At 59.2% G+C, this 18,083-nt stretch overlaps 1 protein-coding gene across 5 annotated transcripts in view, besides 5 other annotated features; it reads left to right on the top strand.

Moving 5' to 3' along the window:
• Positions 4,512–5,224: an enhancer, noted in NCBI's record as "H3K4me1 hESC enhancer chr11:3187022-3187734 (GRCh37/hg19 assembly coordinates)". NCBI's record gives its function as "activates a minimal SCP1, AML or CMV promoter by ChIP-STARR-seq in naive H9 embryonic stem cells {active_cell/tissue: H9 hESC(naive)}" and the evidence as "EXISTENCE:reporter gene assay evidence [ECO:0000049][PMID:30033119]".
• OSBPL5 (oxysterol binding protein like 5) overlaps positions 5,706–18,083 on the top strand; it is a 78,204-nt gene continuing 65,826 nt past the window's right edge. For 2 of the 5 annotated variants that reach the window (NM_001144063.2, NM_020896.4), the window contains exon 1: positions 5,706–5,800. The gene's annotated coding sequence lies outside the window, so the exon portion shown is untranslated. Of the gene's footprint in view, positions 5,801–6,819; positions 7,077–7,099; positions 10,099–18,083 lie in introns of those variants that run through there. The other 3 variants (NM_145638.3, XM_017017163.3, XM_011519873.4) reach the window with 3 other exon arrangements.
• Positions 6,968–7,661: an enhancer, noted in NCBI's record as "H3K4me1 hESC enhancer chr11:3184585-3185278 (GRCh37/hg19 assembly coordinates)". NCBI's record gives its function as "activates a minimal SCP1, AML or CMV promoter by ChIP-STARR-seq in naive H9 embryonic stem cells {active_cell/tissue: H9 hESC(naive)}" and the evidence as "EXISTENCE:reporter gene assay evidence [ECO:0000049][PMID:30033119]".
• Positions 12,049–12,222: a silencer, noted in NCBI's record as "fragment chr11:3180024-3180197 (GRCh37/hg19 assembly coordinates)". NCBI's record gives its function as "represses an EF-1alpha promoter that drives an FKBP-Casp9 reporter gene in an ReSE screen in K562 erythroleukemia cells {active_cell/tissue: K562}" and the evidence as "EXISTENCE:reporter gene assay evidence [ECO:0000049][PMID:32094911]".
• Positions 12,644–13,449: an enhancer, noted in NCBI's record as "H3K27ac-H3K4me1 hESC enhancer chr11:3178797-3179602 (GRCh37/hg19 assembly coordinates)". NCBI's record gives its function as "activates a minimal SCP1, AML or CMV promoter by ChIP-STARR-seq in naive H9 embryonic stem cells {active_cell/tissue: H9 hESC(naive)}" and the evidence as "EXISTENCE:reporter gene assay evidence [ECO:0000049][PMID:30033119]".
• Positions 16,887–17,635: an enhancer, noted in NCBI's record as "H3K27ac-H3K4me1 hESC enhancer chr11:3174611-3175359 (GRCh37/hg19 assembly coordinates)". NCBI's record gives its function as "activates a minimal SCP1, AML or CMV promoter by ChIP-STARR-seq in naive H9 embryonic stem cells {active_cell/tissue: H9 hESC(naive)}" and the evidence as "EXISTENCE:reporter gene assay evidence [ECO:0000049][PMID:30033119]".

The following is an 18,083-nucleotide window of genomic DNA, read 5'->3' as shown; positions in this document are numbered from 1 at the left end:
ACACACCGGGCTTCCTGGGTGAGAACTCGGACACGATGTGCCTCCCTTTGAGATGTGTCTGTTCCGGGTGCCCCTTGATCTGCTCCTTCAGGTACCAGCACCGAGGAGACCCCACCCCCAGGTCCCTGCGGCCTTGCCCAGGGTTCTCTCCATACCCACAGCTGCCCAACATGCTGTGGCTCCTCCCTGGGCGGGGAGGATCACTGCCTCCCTCCTCAGAGCGGGGACAGGAGCTTCCCCCCGAGCCCCAAGCAGGAGCCTGGGCCGCTTGTGAACTGCCTCCTCCCAACCTCCCTCCTTGCCTCCAGCACCACCATGGGGCAGGCAGACGCCCAAGACTGTGGCAGATGCAGCCCATGGCCAAGGGTGACAGGTAAGGAGCTCTTAAACCCAGGTTCTGAGCTGGGCGTGCCCCTGACCCCTGAGAAGAGGCCCAGCTGGAGCCCAAGGCAGCGCCCCCAGCCAGCAGCTTCTCCGGAGCAGCTGCCTCCACTCAGCCTGGGCACCGGCCAGCTTTGGGGACCTCTGGGCATTTCTTTCTTTACCCCGTGAGATTTCTGGGGTGTATCACCAACCTCACTGCAGTGCCCATGAGGCCCTGCTCCTCCTCTTGGCCAGGTGTGGTGAAGGATGACATAGGGCTGGCTGCACATAGCAGGGCCGCAGGCAGAGCCCGCCACCCTGGGAGTCACCTCTGAGGACTGGCTCCACACTCGTGGGGACGTCTGAGCACGGGCTTATCCCATATATCCAATGCCGTTCAGCAGCACCCACAGCCCCCTGGAGCCACCTCAGCCTCCCGCCGAGTCCTGCGGAGGTTTTGACCCTATAAATAGCACCTTCTTGTCCTTTCAGGCAGGAGTCCAAACACTGTCACCAAGAGAGGTGGGAAACTCCATTTTTATTACGATCATATTACAATGCCTGAATCACGAGTTTAGATGTGGCTTTCTGGAAGACAGGGGTGTGTGTGGGTGTGCATGTGTGTGTGTGTGTGCATGCACACGTGTGCATGCACACGTGTGCATCAGAGAGAGAGACAGACAGAGACACAGAGTAAGAGAGTCAGAGAGAGACAGGCAGACAGAGCCAGAGAGCCGGAGCGAGCCTTCAGGCAGCAGGCCTGCTCAGGACACACTGTGGGCAGTGCGGGCCCAGAGCTGGGAAGGGAGTCCTGCAGGCTGCCCCAGGAAGAAACCAAAAGAACAGAAAACAGCCACTGCTCCGCCCCGCTCCCCACAGCTGGCTTTGTGACTCAGCCCGGGAGATGCGACCACAGTCTCCCTAGGAAGAGGAGGAGGAACGCATGTGGGGACCCAGTACGTCCCTGCTCCTCCTCAGGCCCCCAGCCCCTGCACCCCTGTGGGATCCAGGAGCGGAAAAGACTTGGCTCCCTCCCATGGCTGGTGGCCCAAAGTGGCAGCCGTGTCCAGCCCCGAAGGAGGGAACAGCGGGGAGAGCCTGCCTCCTGTAACCGGAACGCTAGCTTGGCTTCCAGTCCTGCCTGGGACGCTCCCCAGTGGCCAGCCTGGAGCTGGTGGCTTCACCTCCTTGACTTTCCACTTCGGCGTCTGTAAGCTGGGGATACTGATAACCACAGGCTTGCCGGCAGTGCGGGGGATGCAATCCGGTCACGTGAAGTTGAGGACGTAGTGCCAGGCGCATGGCAAACGGTCCATACATGCTGCGATGTTTTCATGATTAGCTTTGTGCTGTGGAGACTATCTGGACGCTTTGAGTTTCACTGACGCCCCACCGCCTACGGGAGATGGAATCTCCTCCCCCTGCCCGGAAAGGAAACAGAATGGGCTCCCACCAGAGACCACACCTGGCGGTGGATGTGCCTTCAGGGCAGCAGGGAGGGCAGCAGAGCCCAGGCTCACCCCTGGGTCTCCCCACTGCAGCCCAGGGAAACCGGGCAGGTGTCCCACTAGGAGTCGGAGACCCACCAAAGTCCAGGTGCACCCCTTACTACTGGGGCCTCGGTTTCCTCATCTGTCTAATGGAGAGAAGTGGTTATTGCTACCTCAGAAGACTGAAAAGGGCCGGGCGCGGTGGCTCATGCCCGTAATCCCAGCACTTTGGGAGTCCGAGGAGGGTCGATCACAAGGTCAGGAGTTCAAGACCAGCCTGGCCAAGATGGTGAAACCCCATCTCTACAAAAAATACAAAAAGTAGCCGGGTGTGGTGGCGGGCACCTGTAATCTCAGCTACTCAGGAGCCTGAGGCAGGAGAATCGCTTGAACTTGGAGAGCGGAGGTTGCAGTGAGCCGAGGTTGTGCCACTGCACTCCATCCTGAGCGACAGAGTGAGACTCCGTCTCAAAAAAAAAAAAAAAAAAAAAAAAAAAAAGGCTGTAAAGGACCAAAGGAGATAACCGATGACAGTTTGCCGGCCCTGACCTGCTTAAGGTCTCTCCCTAGGGGGCCACACCCAGCCCCACTGGCTCCTGTAGTGGCTGAAGCCCTGAGCAAGGCTTCCCCGGTTGGTGGCACCTTCTCTGGATTGGGCCCAGCGCTGTTCCCACATGTCCTGGCCACCCCAGCCCTTCCCAGGGAGGCAGCCAGATGTAGCAGAAGGGGCAGGGGCTTTTGCGGGGGGGTTTCCTCTGAGCCGGTGGGTCTTCATTATGAACCAGGTGGCAGAGCACGGCAGATCAGAGCACAGTTCTGGAGCCAGAGAGGTTGGTGACTGCCTCGCCTGCTGTGCCTCAGCTTCCCCATCTGTGAAATGGAGCCAATCACGACAGAACCAGCTCATAAAGTTGTGAGGCAGATTAAATGCACCAAGTGTCTAAAGCCCTCAGAAAAGGGTCTGACACGAGAAAGGTGCCCACAGCCATCTTATTCACCCCTCAGTCGGGGTCAGGAGAAGTAGATGAGATGCAAAGAACCTGGGACAGGGTAGGGGCTCCATCAGCAGGAGGCCTTGGGGGCTTAGACCAACCACCCGAAACCAAGGAGTGATGCCAGCAGGTGGACATGTATTCACTTCTGGGGCAGGGATTCTTGACCTCAGCATGACCAGCATTTGGGGCCGGGTCACCCTTTGTGGTGGAGGCTGTCCCGTGCATGACAACGTGTTTAGCAACATCCTCGGCCTCTACCCACTAGACACCAGTAGCAACCTCCAATGACGACGGCCAGAACTATCTCCAGGCAGTGGCAAATGCCACCTGGAAACTGGAGGCAAAACCGCCCCTAGCAGAGAACTGCCATTCTGGAGACTTGGATTGGAACTGCCCTGATTTTAAATTGCACTGTCCTTGCAAAGCATTTTTTAAGTTCTTACTTATCACAGACATATTTTTCTGAATTACCATAAATTCCAAACTAACCAGCTGGGCGCTGCAAGCCGTTCCTTCCCATAGTCCACTCATGGTCCCCAGTGCCCACCAACAGCCAGCGCTTGCAAAGTCTGTTGGCCCACTGGGGACTTATGGCAGCTCATGCAGCGGAAACTGCTCTGGTCATCGCCATTTATAGATGAGGAAACTGAGGCACGGCCAGTTGCACAAACCTGCTCAAGGGCTCCTGGATGGTGGGGCCTACTGGGCGTGCCCCCCTAAAGCTGGTGCCATTGGCACCTGGCTCTGCCCATCTCTGAGACCTCTGACGCCTTCATTTCCTGCGTTGGCCACCAGGCACAGATGCTGTGTCCATCTGACAGGAGAGGAAGCGGGGTCCCAGGAGGAACAAGCCACTGCCTGGTGACAGAGCTTCTTTCTGGCAGCAGCAGGATTCGGACCTACCTCTTGCTGGGGGCAACCTCTTCGGCTCACTGCCTCTCCAAAACCAGGCAAGAGGCTGGAAATGGGGCTTTCTGGAAAAATGCAGAGCCTGCTGGGAAGTGGGGCAGACAACTGACACCTGTCACTGAGCCTGGCAGGTGGCGTGTTCTTCATTTCTTGCATGGCCATCTGGCTGTCAGACACTACCCAGTGAGAGGCTCAACCCTCGTCCTGCTCCACCCCAGCCCCACCCTGCTGTCATCTATGGCCCCTTCCCCCACCCTCAGGTGCCTCTTTGACTTTTGACCTCTGCCCTCAGCAGTGTCATTTCATGAAACCCAGGCCCTGGACAGCCAGCATCAAGCAACTGGCAACCTTCCCTACTGCCGCCCCTGAGACCTCCGCCCTAGGGATAGGGGCTTTGTTTTCTTCCCTAATTCCCTTTGGATTGGCTCCAGCAACCAGCAAGTTACCAGGCAGCAGCACCTCAGCTTTGGGCGGAGTCTTCAAAGAGCAGACCCAGCAGTTGTATGTGGATCCCAGCTGCACAGACCCTCTCCTGCAGAGGCAGAGGCCGCCTGCCACAGGCCACGCGGAGCAGGGTCCCACCATGGCCCTGAGCATCTTGACTGAGCAGTTCTGCATCCCAAGGCCTCACAAGGTGACTATGGAATGGCAATGCTAGCCCTGGGGGTAAGCTTAGGGCAAGTCCGATCAGCCCACTCGCCTCCGTAAGCCGTGGGTTCCTGTGATCCGCACACAAGCGGCTGGTGCTGCTATCCCCAGGAGGATACCCACCAACTTGTCTAACGGGGTGGGCAAGGCCAGGGCTGAGACGGGAAGGGGTCTGGCTTGTTGTGGGCAGAGCACCTGCATGCTGTGCCGTTCCCCCTTCAGGTGCTGGAAGGAGCCTTCCTGGGCCGCTCGCCCTCCGCAGCCCTGCTGGGAGGTCTTGCAGACGCCCATGATAGCCAGGCTTGCGGCCTCCCGAATGCAACTGCAGCGTGAAACCGTAGAAACACACGTGTCAGTGGCAGTTCTGCCTGGGGAGGAGCCCAGGGCTCTCTGCGGAGGGTCAGTTCTGTCCCTGTTAAGGTTCTGTGTGGAAAAGACTCCACGCCCTCTTGGGGTCTACCTACATCTGGGGATGCCCGAGCCCAGCTCCCAGTTTTTCTGGTCATTTGGGGACATACCATAGGAAGGACCTGCAGTGCACCTCAGGCTTGGACACTAGGGATGCAAACGCCCTGGGGCCAGCCCTGGGCCCACACCCAATTTAGGGTCTACAGGCAGGGAGCCAGGGGCCAGGGGAGGACTTCTCAGCTCCCAAGGGGATGCTGTTTAGGGGAATTAGAATGTCTTTTATATACAAGAGAACTGAGGGGTCTAAAAAGGTCTCTGGGGGGTAGAAGAAGGTGAGGAGAAAACACAGGAAGAAATGCACATGAGGGGAGGTTCTTGTCAAAAGGGTCCTGAGAAAGACGTACAGTTAGAGTGTGACTGAGGGTCCTTCTTAGCACATAAGGGGCAGGGACAACGGGCTCAGATGTCTGGGGCTCCTCTTGTGTTCTGATGGCTCCTGAGACGGGGAGAAACGGCGACAGTTTCCTGGGTTCAGGAAGGGAGAGGAGGCGCCTCGCACCCTGGCTAGGGTGGGCTGGGGGCCTGCACCCCTAAGTTGGAGAACCCCACGAAGCTGACCCCACTCACCGCTGCCCACCCCGCCAAGCCTCCTGGCCATTTTCAGCGGAGTGTCCCGACCTCTGGCCGCCCGGGTGGGTGTGAGCCCCGGAGCGCGCGCGGGGGGTTGGGGGATGAGGAGAAGCGGCAGCCGGTGGGGGGCAGCCCCTGGGCGCCCGCTCCGCGCGGCGATTCGGCCCGGGTTTTGCGGCCGCCGCGCCTCCTCCTCCCGCCTCCGGGCTCCCTGGGCCTCCTCCCTCCGCCGCGCCCTCGCTCCGCCTCGCGCGGGGGGACCATCTGCTGGCATTTCCTGCAGCCAGGCCCGCGCCGCCAGTGGAGCCCCCGCGCGCCCGGCCGGCCCGGAGCACCGAGCTCGCGGCACGGTAGGAGGTAGGAGCGCGGCGGCCCGGGGGGCGGCAGGGCGGCGGGGGGATGGCGGGCTGGGAAGGATCCGGAGGGCCCCGCCGGGCAGGGCCGGAGCGAACCGAGGGCCGCGGGGGGCCGGCCGAAGGGATCCAGGAGCTCGCGCCGCAGCCCCGCGGACCCTGGCAGTAGCCAGTGCGGGGAACCACGCCGCGGGGCCGGTCGCGCGCTGGGGAGCTGGGGAGCGCGGGAGCCTGGGGGCGCCCCGGGCCAGGACGGGTCGGCGCCTGGCGGGTTGGGGCGGGTGGGGCCCGCGAGTGGGAAGCGGCGCGCCCAGCTCGGCTCCCCACTTGGTGGGGCTTAAAGGAGCCGGGACCGCCAGGGAAGGTGGCTGGGTCTGACCACCACAAACCCTGGCCAATCAGGGGGTCTGTCCCCCCAGCTCGGCCGACGCGGGCTCCAAGGAGCCAGGTCTTGATGGGTCTGCAGGGGGTCTGGGATCTGAGTCTGGCGTCCCAGCTGCGGGCTTGGGAGGACTGCTGTGTCTGAGTCCGCAGAGTCAGGGGGCTGCCTGGATTACAGGCTAGGGAAGGACCTTGCCCACAGCCCCCATCTCTGGGGCACTGACCCCCTGAAGATGTGGAGCCTTAGGGATTGTTGAGGTGCCTGAGTCCTCAAGAGGGTCTTGTGCACTTGAAGATTCCTCCCGGGGAGCGGGGTGCAGGAGGGTGGGGCAGGCAGGAAGGAGGCTGGAGTCTGCAGCCCCCCGGGCAACAGGCCCGTCCTGGGCTTCCCAGGCACCGCCCCCAACCCCCACCCAGACCGCTGGGCTGCCTCCTGTCAGAAGCCAACTGGAGTTAGGGTTTGGGGTGACTCCTGGGGGTATGGAGGGGTCACAGGGTGGGCTTACCTGCCCCTCCCTCGTCCCTGGGCTGAGCCCAGCCCCTCCCTCATCCTTGGGCTGAGCGGGTCTGCCCCGCCGAAGCGGCTGGGTGGATTTCCTCTCTTGCCGTTTCGCAACTTGCTCCCCTCTGTGTGTCTGCCCCAGTCTCTTCAAGGTGCCTTTTACAGGAAGACTTCTGTAAGGGTCCCACCCCACCTGATACAGCCTCCCAAAGCCTGGAGAAGTGGGCCAGCCTTTGGGATCCTAGATAGATGCTCTTGGGTCTGCCTGCACCAGGGCTGATCCAGATCCCAGACTGAACAGAAACTCTGCTCCCCAACCCCAGGAGTAAGGCCCCTCTGCACGTTTTTATCCCACCTCCTTGGTACACAGGGCCTTGCTGTTCCTTGAACCTGCCAGGTGAGTGGGGGCTTTGCAGGCATCGGGCAGGTTTGTGGCAACCTGGGGTGGCATCATGTGCCCAGCTGCTCCCTTCTGGTCTCAGGCTCCAGAACTGCAGATCCTATTGTCTGCCTGCACGCGTGTGGGGCTGGCCTGGGGTGCCAGGAGGCAGGCACCGCGTGTGTCTGTCTTGCCAGGCTGTGTTTAAGAAAGGTGACACAGCAGATAGGCCGGATGAGGAGCCTCTGACCTGCAGTCCTGGGCCTGGTCTCAGAGAGGCTGCCCTGCAGATGTCGAACCCCGGGCAGCCATCCTGCATGTCCAGTGGAGGCTCCTTTCTGGGTCCAGATTGGGCCATGAATAGGCCATGTTCTTCAAAGGACTGCTTTCAGCTCTTTACAGAATACCAACGCAAGACCGCCCCCCCCACCCAACCCCTACCCAGGATTGTATTTACTATGCTGAGAATGCCTGGTATCAGTTTCTCTCCTGAGATCCTGGCCTCACTCTGAGCGCTGATAGTAATCTGACATGTAACGCTTGGGGGAGGGAGAAACACTCTGTGACAAGCCGGCGGGTGGAAGGGCTGTGTGTGTCTCTGCCAGCTGTGTTTTGGGGACTGGTGCTCTCTGCTGATTCTGTGGTTAAGCCTGCACACGTTTGCACACATACAGGCACAGTGTGCAGGTGGAAAACTTACCCAAGATGACAGAAGGTGCCCCCCGCCCCCATTCCCATTTATTGTTCAAGGGACAGGTGAATCTGAGCCTGTGACCGCAGCTGAGAAATGTTGTGGACCCAGCTCAGGGTTCTCCCGGAGAGGCCTGGGGAGCTGGAAGCTCTGACCTCCGGGACAGGGGGTTGTAGAGGGGCCGAGGCCCAGGGTTGCACAGTGCCAAAAGGATCCCGGTCATTTTGACAGGAAGGGAGCTGTCGGGGAGGGAGCCGTTAGGTGCAGCTCCCCTTGTGGAGTCCAAGGGCCAGGTGGGTAGAAGTGCCCACCACTTGCAGGGTTGGCAGGGGAGCCCAGGGAGTGCACCAGTGTGCTGGGGGGTAGATGTTGGGGGGTACAAGTGAGGGCCACTGGCCTCCCGACAGGGACAGGCATGCTGCCCTGGATGTCCTCATGCTGCTTGTGACCGGCACAAAGGAAAAGAATATTGTTCTCGATGCCAGCTTTGCTTGATGACTTACCGAGCCTGCAGCTTGAGGAGGCAACTGACAGCCTGAGGATGGGGCTCCTGGGCTGGTCAAGATTTTTAAAGGTTTTGGGGCCTTGGTGGCTGGGTCTTGGCCACGGCTGGGTAACCTTTCCCGTGGAGATGTATGGGCAGATAGTGAAGCTGCTCCGGAGAGTGGTAGGGTTGGCGGTCGAGTACAAAGGACTTGGACTAAGGACCGCGTTGTTCTCTTAGCATCACAGTTGTTCTGAGCCAGGGCCTCTGGGATCATGTCCACGAGGATGTGAGATTGCCTTGTGCTGGCATCTACACTAAGCGGAGTGGGCACCAGCTGTGTCCTCAGGACCAGGGCTTGAGGTGGGAGATGGGGAGGGGGTGGGACATGAGCCTTCTTGGCTGGCTTAGAGGGATCCAGAATTCCTAGAGGGCCTTTGTTGCAAATCTCAGAGCCACCCAGGCTGAGAGCAAATGCTTTGCTCGGCCTCCCAGCCCACCTCACATCCGGCTACTCCCTCCAGGGCTGGCCTCCACTCCCCTCCTGGCCCTACCAGCTCTTGCCTGGAGCTCCACATCAGCTACCTAGTAGGCTCCCCTTTCGTGGCCTTCCTAGCCCTTCTCCAGCCAGCAGCCAGCATGGTGTTTAAAAAGATAAACCACTTCATGTAATTTGACCACTTAGAGCCCTTTGAGATTTGCCATGGGTCTCAGTAAGTCCTGACCCCTTTCCAGACCCCACAGGCCCTAGATGCCCCTCCACTCTGTCTCCCTTCCCTTGTTCTCCTCTCCCCCTCCCCTCCCCTCCCTCTCCCCTCCTTGCTCACAGGGGTCTGGCGTCAGCCCCGGCTTCTTACTCCAGGGCCTTTGCACTGCCTGTGCCTCTGCTTTCGGCCCCTCCTTGGATCTGCATTTGGTGGGCTCCATCTAATTCAGGTCCCAGCTCAGATGCTGCCTCTCTGAGAGAGTCTCTGTTCCTGGCCCGTTACCCATTCCAAAGCAGCTCTCAGCTCTGTGTTTTGTTTTCTCTTTATTTATACTGAAATGGTCATGTTTGTTTAATTGAATGGCTTCCTATGGAGAAAGCGATTGGGCCAAGCCAGGTTCATGGTGGGCGCCGCTGGTGCGTGGCATCTGTCCCTGGTGGGTGCCGCTGGTGCGCGGTGTCTGTCCCCATGCACGGTTGCCTGCAAGTCTGCTCCGGGCTCTCTTCCCAGGGGCTGGCACACAGTAGGTGTTCTACGGTTAAGTGAGGCACATGTGGAAAGCCGTCATACTGTCTCATCCCAGGGAGGTCAGTAGATTGAGACTGGCTGCCCCCATCTAGCAAGTCCCACCCACCATGTCCTGGTTTCACCAGCATCGGCTGGTGTGGGACGTGACCAGCTCATTTCCTCCATGCTCTAGGATGGGAAGGACAAGAGGGCGTGACTCTTCCCAGAGTCCCATCATCTCTGATTTAGGAATGGAGCCCTTAGGGTGTCTCACCTCCTCGGGATGCCTAATAGTGTGTTTGGTGAATGCAGATGGACTTAACTGGTCCATAGATCCCCTCTCACCCTGCTGACACGAAGACAAGGATGAAGGGGAAAGTTGAGGCTCAACAACTGAACAGTATTCCTTCTAAATATGTACATTCTTAGGGATTTTAAGTGGAAAACAGGGAGGAGATTTGAGGGATACCCCACCTCGGCAGGCAGCTGGTCAGGCTGCCTGTTGTGACCAGCCTGGGGTCGCCTTCCCTTCATCCAAGGCCAGGGGAGATGGCAAACCTTCAGTAAGCGCTGCCGTACCTGGCAGAGCAGAAGCACCACCCCAGCTTGGAGACAGCATGCCCCTGACTGCTGGTCACGGATGGCCCCTTGGTAAGTGCCCTGTGCTTCTGAGCAAGGCGGGAACGGGCCTCCAGACGCTGGGGGACAGCACAGAGGGAGCTCTGTCGCCCGTGCCTTTGTCCCTTCTCTCGCTGGCCCATTCTCAGCTGCTTCCTCGCGGGGAAGGGCCTTCCTCGGCCAGGGGAGGGAGAGCTCAGTATCCCGGCGTTGCGGAGGGATTGATGTGCTATTGGGGTGAATACGGCGCTCGGTGTGGGGGCGGGGTGGGGGGGGGGAGGGTTGTCATTTAAAGGGGACTTTGGGGATGGTCAGCAGAGGAAGGCGTGGTGTTGGGGCGGAGCATCCGCATCTCCGCGCCCCTTTCCTGGCAGCCAGCGGGATTTCTCCTGATCAGCTATTGCGGCGAATAAGACAGAGTCAACTAAAGGGCGCGCCGCTGTGGGTCCCATTCGCTGGGCTGCGGCTCCAGGCAACGGCATTTGTATGCCCGCCTATTAGGGTGAATGCGACGCGGGGAGTGTGGGTCGCTTAAAGGGCCGGGACTCTGGAAGCAGTGCGTCCCGCTCCTGCCCGCCTATTGCGGTGAATACGGCGCAGCAGTCGGGTTGTTTAAAGGGTCCAGGCGTCCTGCTTGCTGGACTGTGCTGCTTTGGGGCAGCTCCTGGTCCTGGGCGGGAGGGGAGCACTTTAGGGAGGCTCCCCACATTGGCCAGAGGGAGAGGAGCCCCGACGCTGGCCCGTGGGGCAGGAACGCTAGATGCCCTCCTTACAGGATGAACCTCACCCCCACCCCACCCCCTGCTGCCTTAGGAAGTCACCCAAATTTAGCAAAATTCAAGCCAGAGCCAGCAGGCACCAGGGTGGGGCATGTGACCCTGTTCTGGAGGGCTGGTGGGGCCAGGGCAGGGAGGGGGCTGGGCCTAAGAGATTGATGGTGGTGATGGTGGCAGGCACCGCCTCGGATCTGATCAGAAGGCCTAGCCGAGGAAGACGCAGCCGGAATTCTTCACCCCAGGTGCCAGGGTCAGCAGAGTTTATTTGCCTCCTAAACCTTGGTTACCCCGTCTGTAAAGTGAGGCTCATGGCTGGCCCTAGATGGTCTTTGTACACAAGCGCTGGGTGAGCATCAGCCATTGTGTGGGTGACTGGCATGACCCCCTACCCCACCCCTATGGGCTGCCAGTCAAAGGTTTCCACCCTCCAGCCACCATCTCCCTGACTCAGATAGTCCTGGGCCACCCCACCCAGCCGTGGCCCTGGCCCTCCCCAGGTGCACCCTGTCTCTGCCGGCAGACCCTCCACCTCTCTAGCCCTCTCCTCTGCTCCTGAACTTGGCATTGGTCCCAGGCTGCCCTGAGCTGTCTCAGGGGACTCCTGACCTGTGAAGGGGCAGCGAGTCCATGGGAAGCAGTTGGCCTGGGCTCTTTGAGGCTGCTGTCCTCACCTGTAGAGCAGGGACCATAGTACATGGTGTCCCTGAGTGCAGCGGATCCAGTTAGTGGCCTGGCACAGGGCCAGGGAGAACTGGAATGCCTTAGTGTCTGGCCTGCACACTCCCTACCAGCGAGCACTTTGTGGGTTAGGTACCAGGCCTCGTTACCCTGAGGCTGGGGTGCTGTGGACGGGGTGCTGGGACTTAGCATTAATGCTCAAAGACGAGCTACAGAGGTAGTGAGATCCCCCAGCCCCAGGGACACCTGAGAGTTCTACCTCTTCCCCGCGCCCGCCTCAAGAACATACCTGTCTCCTGGGCAGAAACCGACCCTCATGTTTCATTCTCTGTGGCCTCAGGGTGCGTGCACACTCTCGCCTGTGCCCTCAACCTGCTGTCCCTTGTGTTCAGAGGGTGGCTGGCCCGAGGGCTCACAGCATCTGACAGGCTCCCCTCTGAGACGGAGGAAATGGGGCCCCAAGAATGGCAGGGTCGTGGTGCTGCTCCTCGCTGGGCTTCAGTTTCTCCATCTTTAAGGCACCCCCATCCCTGACATTTGCCCGCAACCCCCACACCTGCGGGGCTAAGGCTCCTGCACACGGGCAACACCCCGGCAGGAACCGAGAAGGGAACTTGGACATCCAGAGCTCCCTCTTCACTCCCGAGGCCCTGGCTTCTCCAAGGGCTTCTGTCCATCTGCTCCTGCTCCTTGAGCTGTTTTATATCTTGAGGATGCACCCCAGGTTTTATGCAGAAAGAAGCATCCACTAGTTTTCAAAGGTTTGAGACTGAGTGATTGGAAATCTTTCTCGTCCTTCCTCCCTCCCTCTCTCCTGCACCACTGTGTGCAGCCCAGAAGAGGCCTCATGTGTCACTGACCATGCACCAGTGTGCAGCCCAGAAGAGGTCTCATGTGTCACTGATGCTCCGTGAGTCTAGCTTCTGCACGTGGGGTGTCCCCATGGCTGGTCCTGGGGCGGTGGACTGGCCTGATGCTGCCGAGGACGCCCCACTTTCCCACAAATCTCCACCCTGCTGTCTTGCACATCCTGGGGCCAGGACAGGAAGAGCTCTCTGCAGGTCGGAAAAGCAGGTGCCAGTGTGGGCACCAAGAGCCGTTTGTGCTTTGTAGGAGCGCGTGCTCCCACGTGGCACCCTCTGATCTCCTTGGGGCAGAGGAAAAGAGCAGCCAGCTTTGAAGGGAACCCTCGCCCACTCCAGCGCCCATGCTGGGTTTCCACTTTGGGCCCAGCTCCTGCAGAAGAGCACAGATTTCTCTCGCTCCGAGACCTAGATTCTGCCTCGGAACGGCACAGCTGTCCCCAAAGGGCAGGCCGGGGCAGGCCGCTTGGCCACAGGAGGCTGGGAGAGTTTGGAGCATGAAGAACACCTAGAAACGTCAGGATGTGGGCCCCGTCTGGAAACCTGAGGCTGAGGCCGCTTCGGGACAGGGCCTGGTTGTTTGTCCCATTACAGTGCCAGAGTGGGTCATTCTCCCCAGCCCGGCAGCCAGGCTCCCACGAAGGCTCACAGAGAGAGGGGGACAGAGGTGCTCTCTGTTGGTGACTGGCACCCAAGGGTGCTTGGCCCCAGTGTGCTGCTGAACACACACGGCTGCCGTGGTCGAGGATGTCAGGAATCCCCACCCTCGTCCCTGCACCAAGTGCAGCTATGTGGCTCTTTCCTGCCCAGACCCTCCCTGCTGGCAGGTGCCCACCAACGGCCAGAAGAACCTTCCGGCTGCTGCAAGCCCAGCAGGCTGGGCCAGTTTCTCGCTCATCTGATTGTTGTGAGCAGAGGAGAACGAGTTACTCAGTCCCCAGCCGGCCGAGGGCGGGGCCGCCTTCATCTCTGCTCCATGGGCTGCTGGGTGCTCACACTCTAAAGTGATGTGGGTGGCAGGAAGTGGCCTTGTGGCGCCCACCTGCTGAGCACAGGGCTGGCCTGTGGAGCCACCCCAGTCAAGCTGGCTGGGGCTCTCCTGCCCCTCTCTGTCTTGGCACAGGCCCTTCCCAGGCCTGCAAAGCCTGCCTCCATCGGGGTGCTGCCTCAGTACCAGTGGGACACCAGACATCTAGGCTAGCTAGCTTGGTGCCCAGGCCCCCTCTTGGCCTCCCCGGGTCTCCTGGGGACGTCACCTTCTCCTGGAACCCTGTCTCATCAGGGTGACCTCTCGTAAGTCCAGGCTCCTTCCTTATCTGCCCCTTCCCATCCTTTTACGGGTCAGGGTCTCTCTGCTGCCGGCCCTGACTCCCTTAGATCTGGGCCCCGCAAGGCCCACTTTTTCCCACGTGCTCGGGAAGCACCGCTTGCTTTCCTCCCTCGTGGGCCGTGAGTCTGCTCCCATGTGTTTGGCCTGGGTGTTTTGCACGGAGGCACGCGGCTCTCTGATCATTAGTGCGTGAAGCCAGGTGCCCTGGGCCGTAAGCACCGCCCTGCAAAGGCATCCTTCACGTTCTGACCTGTGCGAACTGGGAGCTTGCTGCCCTTGGGGGCCCCGAGGAGTGGCCCGTCTGACCTTGTGGACGGGGTGCAGTGCTTGGAGCATGGGCTTAGCGGTTGGCAAAGCAGGTGGGAATCCCCACCCTGTGTGGGGCCATGGGCAAGTCTTAAAGCCCCAGGCCTTAGTTTCCTCGTCTGTGAAATGGGCCATTGCAGGGCCAGTCTCCTGGAGGTGCCTCGGGACGTGGTGGGAGCATGAGCCAGCTCACCGTGGGTGCCGGCCCTCGGCCTGTGTGGAAGTGGCATGGGCTCTCAGAGCAGGGAGGGGCCGCCTCCTATCACGCCTATATCGTTAATGAAAACGCTTATGCATAATGAATGATTGTGAAAGATCTAAACACGGGAACCATGCAGAATAACAGAACCAACCCCAGCGTCGTCAAGGTCCTGGCACCTGGCTTGTATTTGCTTTAGGCGTCTTTCAGCAGCTACAAGTTGCGTGTAGGGAGGGCCCCAGAGCTCGATTCTTTCCCCAGAGCCGCCATCCTGGGTTTCCAGGCTCACACTCCCAGGCGGGCTTTGGGCTTTACTATATATGGATGGATCCATAAACACATGCAGACAGATGTCACGTGACCACTGACTTCCGCTCACATCCTTCTTTCTGATCGTGTTAGAGTCGCAGAGAAGTCGCAAAAACAGTAGTTGACCGCCCTCTGCAACCTCTTCTTGTCTGTGTGGTTCTGTATTCCTTGTACATTTTCCTTGCTTTATGTACATAAATCACACGGATTTCCATCCTTCGGAAGGACATTCTGGTAGTTCCATTCCATCCCTGGAGCAAGCGTTCCGGTTTCCTTGGGCACGGCCGAGGGCACTCTCCCGGGGGACTGACCTGGGGTGGGGTCAGCAGCCCAGCGAGATGGGGCCTGGTCCCTCCTGTGCTCAGTGCTGACTTCCCTTCCCTTCCCCCTTGTCCCAGAGGGAATCATCCCTACCCCCACCCTTACTCTGCCTCAGCATAGGGCTGTGGGAGGAATCCTGGCCCCCAGGGGACACACCATACATAGATGTTTGCCAGGGCCTCTCAGTGACCAACACATTTTGTTAATTAAAACCAGAAACACAGGCTTGAGCCTGAGACTGAGGGCCTGGGAAGGGTGGGGTCCGGCTGAGGTTCTGCAGGTCTGCTCACAGCCGGTTCCAGCACAGCAACCCCTTGCTGAAACCACACGTGTGTGGCCTTGCCAAAGACGGGGAGACGGGGCTTGGGAATACCAGCCAAGCCCCAGACCCGCGGCATCTCCACAAAGCTGGGTTAAATGGAAGTGAACTGTCGGCGTAGTGGCTGCTGCCCTGGCCATCCGGCCACTTCAGACATGAGTGGCAAAGCTGGGGTGAGTGGCAGAGCTGGGGTGAGTGAGTGGCAGAGCTGGGGTGAGTGAGTGGCAGACCTGGGGTGAGTGGCAAAGCTGGGGGGAGTGAGTGGCAGAGCTGGGGTGAGTGGCAGAGCTGGGGTGAGTGAGTGGCAGAGCTGGGGTGAGTGAGTGGCAGACCTGGGGTGAGTGGCAGAGCTGGGGGGAGTGGCAAAGCTGGGGGGAGTGAGTGGCAGAGCTAGGGTGAGTGGCAGAGCTGGGGTGAGTGGCAGAGCTGGGGCACCCATCCCCCCTCGGTGCTTGGGATCACCCCAGGTCACCAGCTGGGAAGTGGCCCAGGCAGATTTGAGCCGAAGTCTGCCAGGCTGTGCCGGACATTATTCCTGGAGAGGGTCCCTGTAGCACCTCCAGATGTGTCAAGGGAGAAATCCCTTTTTCCCAAGGAAGCTGGTGCTGTAGCCCAACTGTCCTAGGAAGGCCCTCCTGGGCCGGTGTGTGAGCTTGCTGGGGTTTCCACCACTAAGCAGCCCAGACGTTGATTCTCTCTCAGTTCTGGAGGCTGGAGTCCAAGATCGAGGCCTTTCAGGGCTGGTTTCTCCTGAGGCCTCGCTCCTTGTCATGCAGATAACCACCTTCTTTCTCCCTGTGTCCTTGCAGGGTCATCCCTCTGTGTGCCTGTGTCCTCATCTCCTCTTTTTATAAGGACACCAGTGAGATTGGACTAGGGCCCACCCTAATGACCTGTTTTAATTTAATGGGCTCTTTTTATTATTATTATTATTATTATACTTTAAGTTCTAGGGTACATGTGCACAACGTGCAGGTTTGTTACATATGTATACATGTGCCATGTTGGTGTGCCGCACCCATTAACTCGTCATTTACATTAGGTATATAGGGGGCTCTTTAAAGACCCCATCTCCAAGTACAGCCGCTTTCTCAGGTCCTAGGGGCTGAGACATCAACACATGGATTGAGGGGACACATTTAGCCCATAACCATGGGTAGTGGAGCAGTCAGACTAACCCTGGGGCCCCCGCACTGCCAGGCGTCTCGTCAGTGGGTTCTGTTTTTATCCCCTGTGAGGGCCCAGCATTTGCCCGGAGTAAGATTTTGATGTGATCAGAGCCTTCCGCACCCATGAGTGTGTGCAGTGTTCTCAGATTTCACCTGCTTGAATCTTGACTGTTTTACGCCTTCCCAAGAGGCCTGGCTCAGCTGGAACCTGGGCGAGCTGTAGAGGCCCCCCGCTTGGTGAACGAAGCGTCAGCAGGCGCATGCTCACCCTTCCGGGCTCACCCCGCCTGTGCCACACGCCGTCAGCCACTCTGTCCCACCGGCAAAGTGGGCGGGGAGGCCAGGATGTGGGTGACTCGGCATGTTTGGGGTCAGCAAGCCCTCTACGACACATCCTGCTACCTACTGGCAGGTGCTGCACGCAGGGCCGTGCTCTCCAGGTCCCAGCATCCTGGGCCAGGATCTGTGGGCTGGAGTGTGTCAGCCGCCCCTTCACCTTTGCCCTCTGGCCCAGTCTAGCAAACACCTCCTACAGCAGCTCTCTGGACACCACACGGGGCCTTTCCTCCCAGGGAGAGTGGATAAGGGGCCACACACCAGCGGCGGTTTGAATGCCATGTGTTTCCCGGGCACAGACCTTCCTTGGGGGCTGCGGGCCTGCCCTGGGGCTCCCTGCTGTGTGTGCGGGGCTGACGGCGCTGTTGGGGAGCCGGTAACCCCGGGGCTCCCAGCTGCAGCCACCTTATCTGGGCTGCATTCATATGGAGCCTCTGCTATCCAGGGCTCTGAGAAGAACTTCAAATGTAGCAAAAAAGAAAATGAAAACAAAAGGCTTCTCCTGAGCAGCCATAGTGGACACCCACCCGTCACCCGCAGCCGGGCCTGGTGGGCCACTCGGGAGTCGTGCCAACTTGGGGCTGTGCTTCCCGGCAGCTTGAGCCTGTGGTCAGTTTTGAAATTGAGGTTTAACGAATGACCTCAGGAATAACTGTCCTCCCGCCCTGTTCATTATTTTTAAACTGTGTCTGCTTTGAATGTGCAAGGAACATGCTGTTTGTCTCTGGTGGGCGCCTGTTCCTGGCTGTGGCCATTCATTATTCCTGGGCCTCAGCCCTAGCGACGGTGCTGGCGTCATCAGCCCCCGCAGCTTGCCAGAGCAGGAATAGCCCCAGGAATTTGTGACCTCAGGCAGCCACATCTTCAGGCTAGAGGGGGCTTTCCCACACAAGAGCAGCTTATTCCCATGGAGGCTCAGATCTTTAAACACATTTGCCCTGTTCCGTGCATATCCCAAAATGCATTACATGCAACCTTGAGGTCTACATGAGAAACACTGGAACCCTCTTCCTGCTGACTTGTGTCATTATAACAGCTAATTTTGATAATGATTAACATGTATTTTATGGAGGCTTTTGGAATGACTTATCTCCTTTAACCCTTGAAACAACCCTATGCCATAAGTTCTATTATTGTCCCCATTTTACAGGTGGGGACACTGGGGCTCGGAGAGGTGAGGAAACCTGCCCAGAGTCACCCACCGCTACATGACAGGACTGGGATTGGAAGCAGCTCACCTCGTAGCCGGGACCCCCTGGCGCCTGGGGGATGTTGCACTCTGTGGGCTGTTTCTCCCTGTACTCAATGGCCCCAGACTCCTCCTCTTCTCCTTGTTGGAGGGGCTGTCAATGCTCATTCCCGCCCACTGCTGTCTAGGAAACCAGATGAGTAAGATTGTTAGAAAAGTGAGC

The sequence above is a fragment of the Homo sapiens genome, chromosome 11 (assembly GCF_000001405.40).
Source record: "Homo sapiens chromosome 11, GRCh38.p14 Primary Assembly".
Classification (NCBI taxonomy): Eukaryota; Metazoa; Chordata; class Mammalia; order Primates; family Hominidae; genus Homo; species Homo sapiens.
The sequence above is the reverse complement of the archived record's forward strand: the minus strand, read 5'-3'. Positions and strand labels throughout refer to the sequence as shown.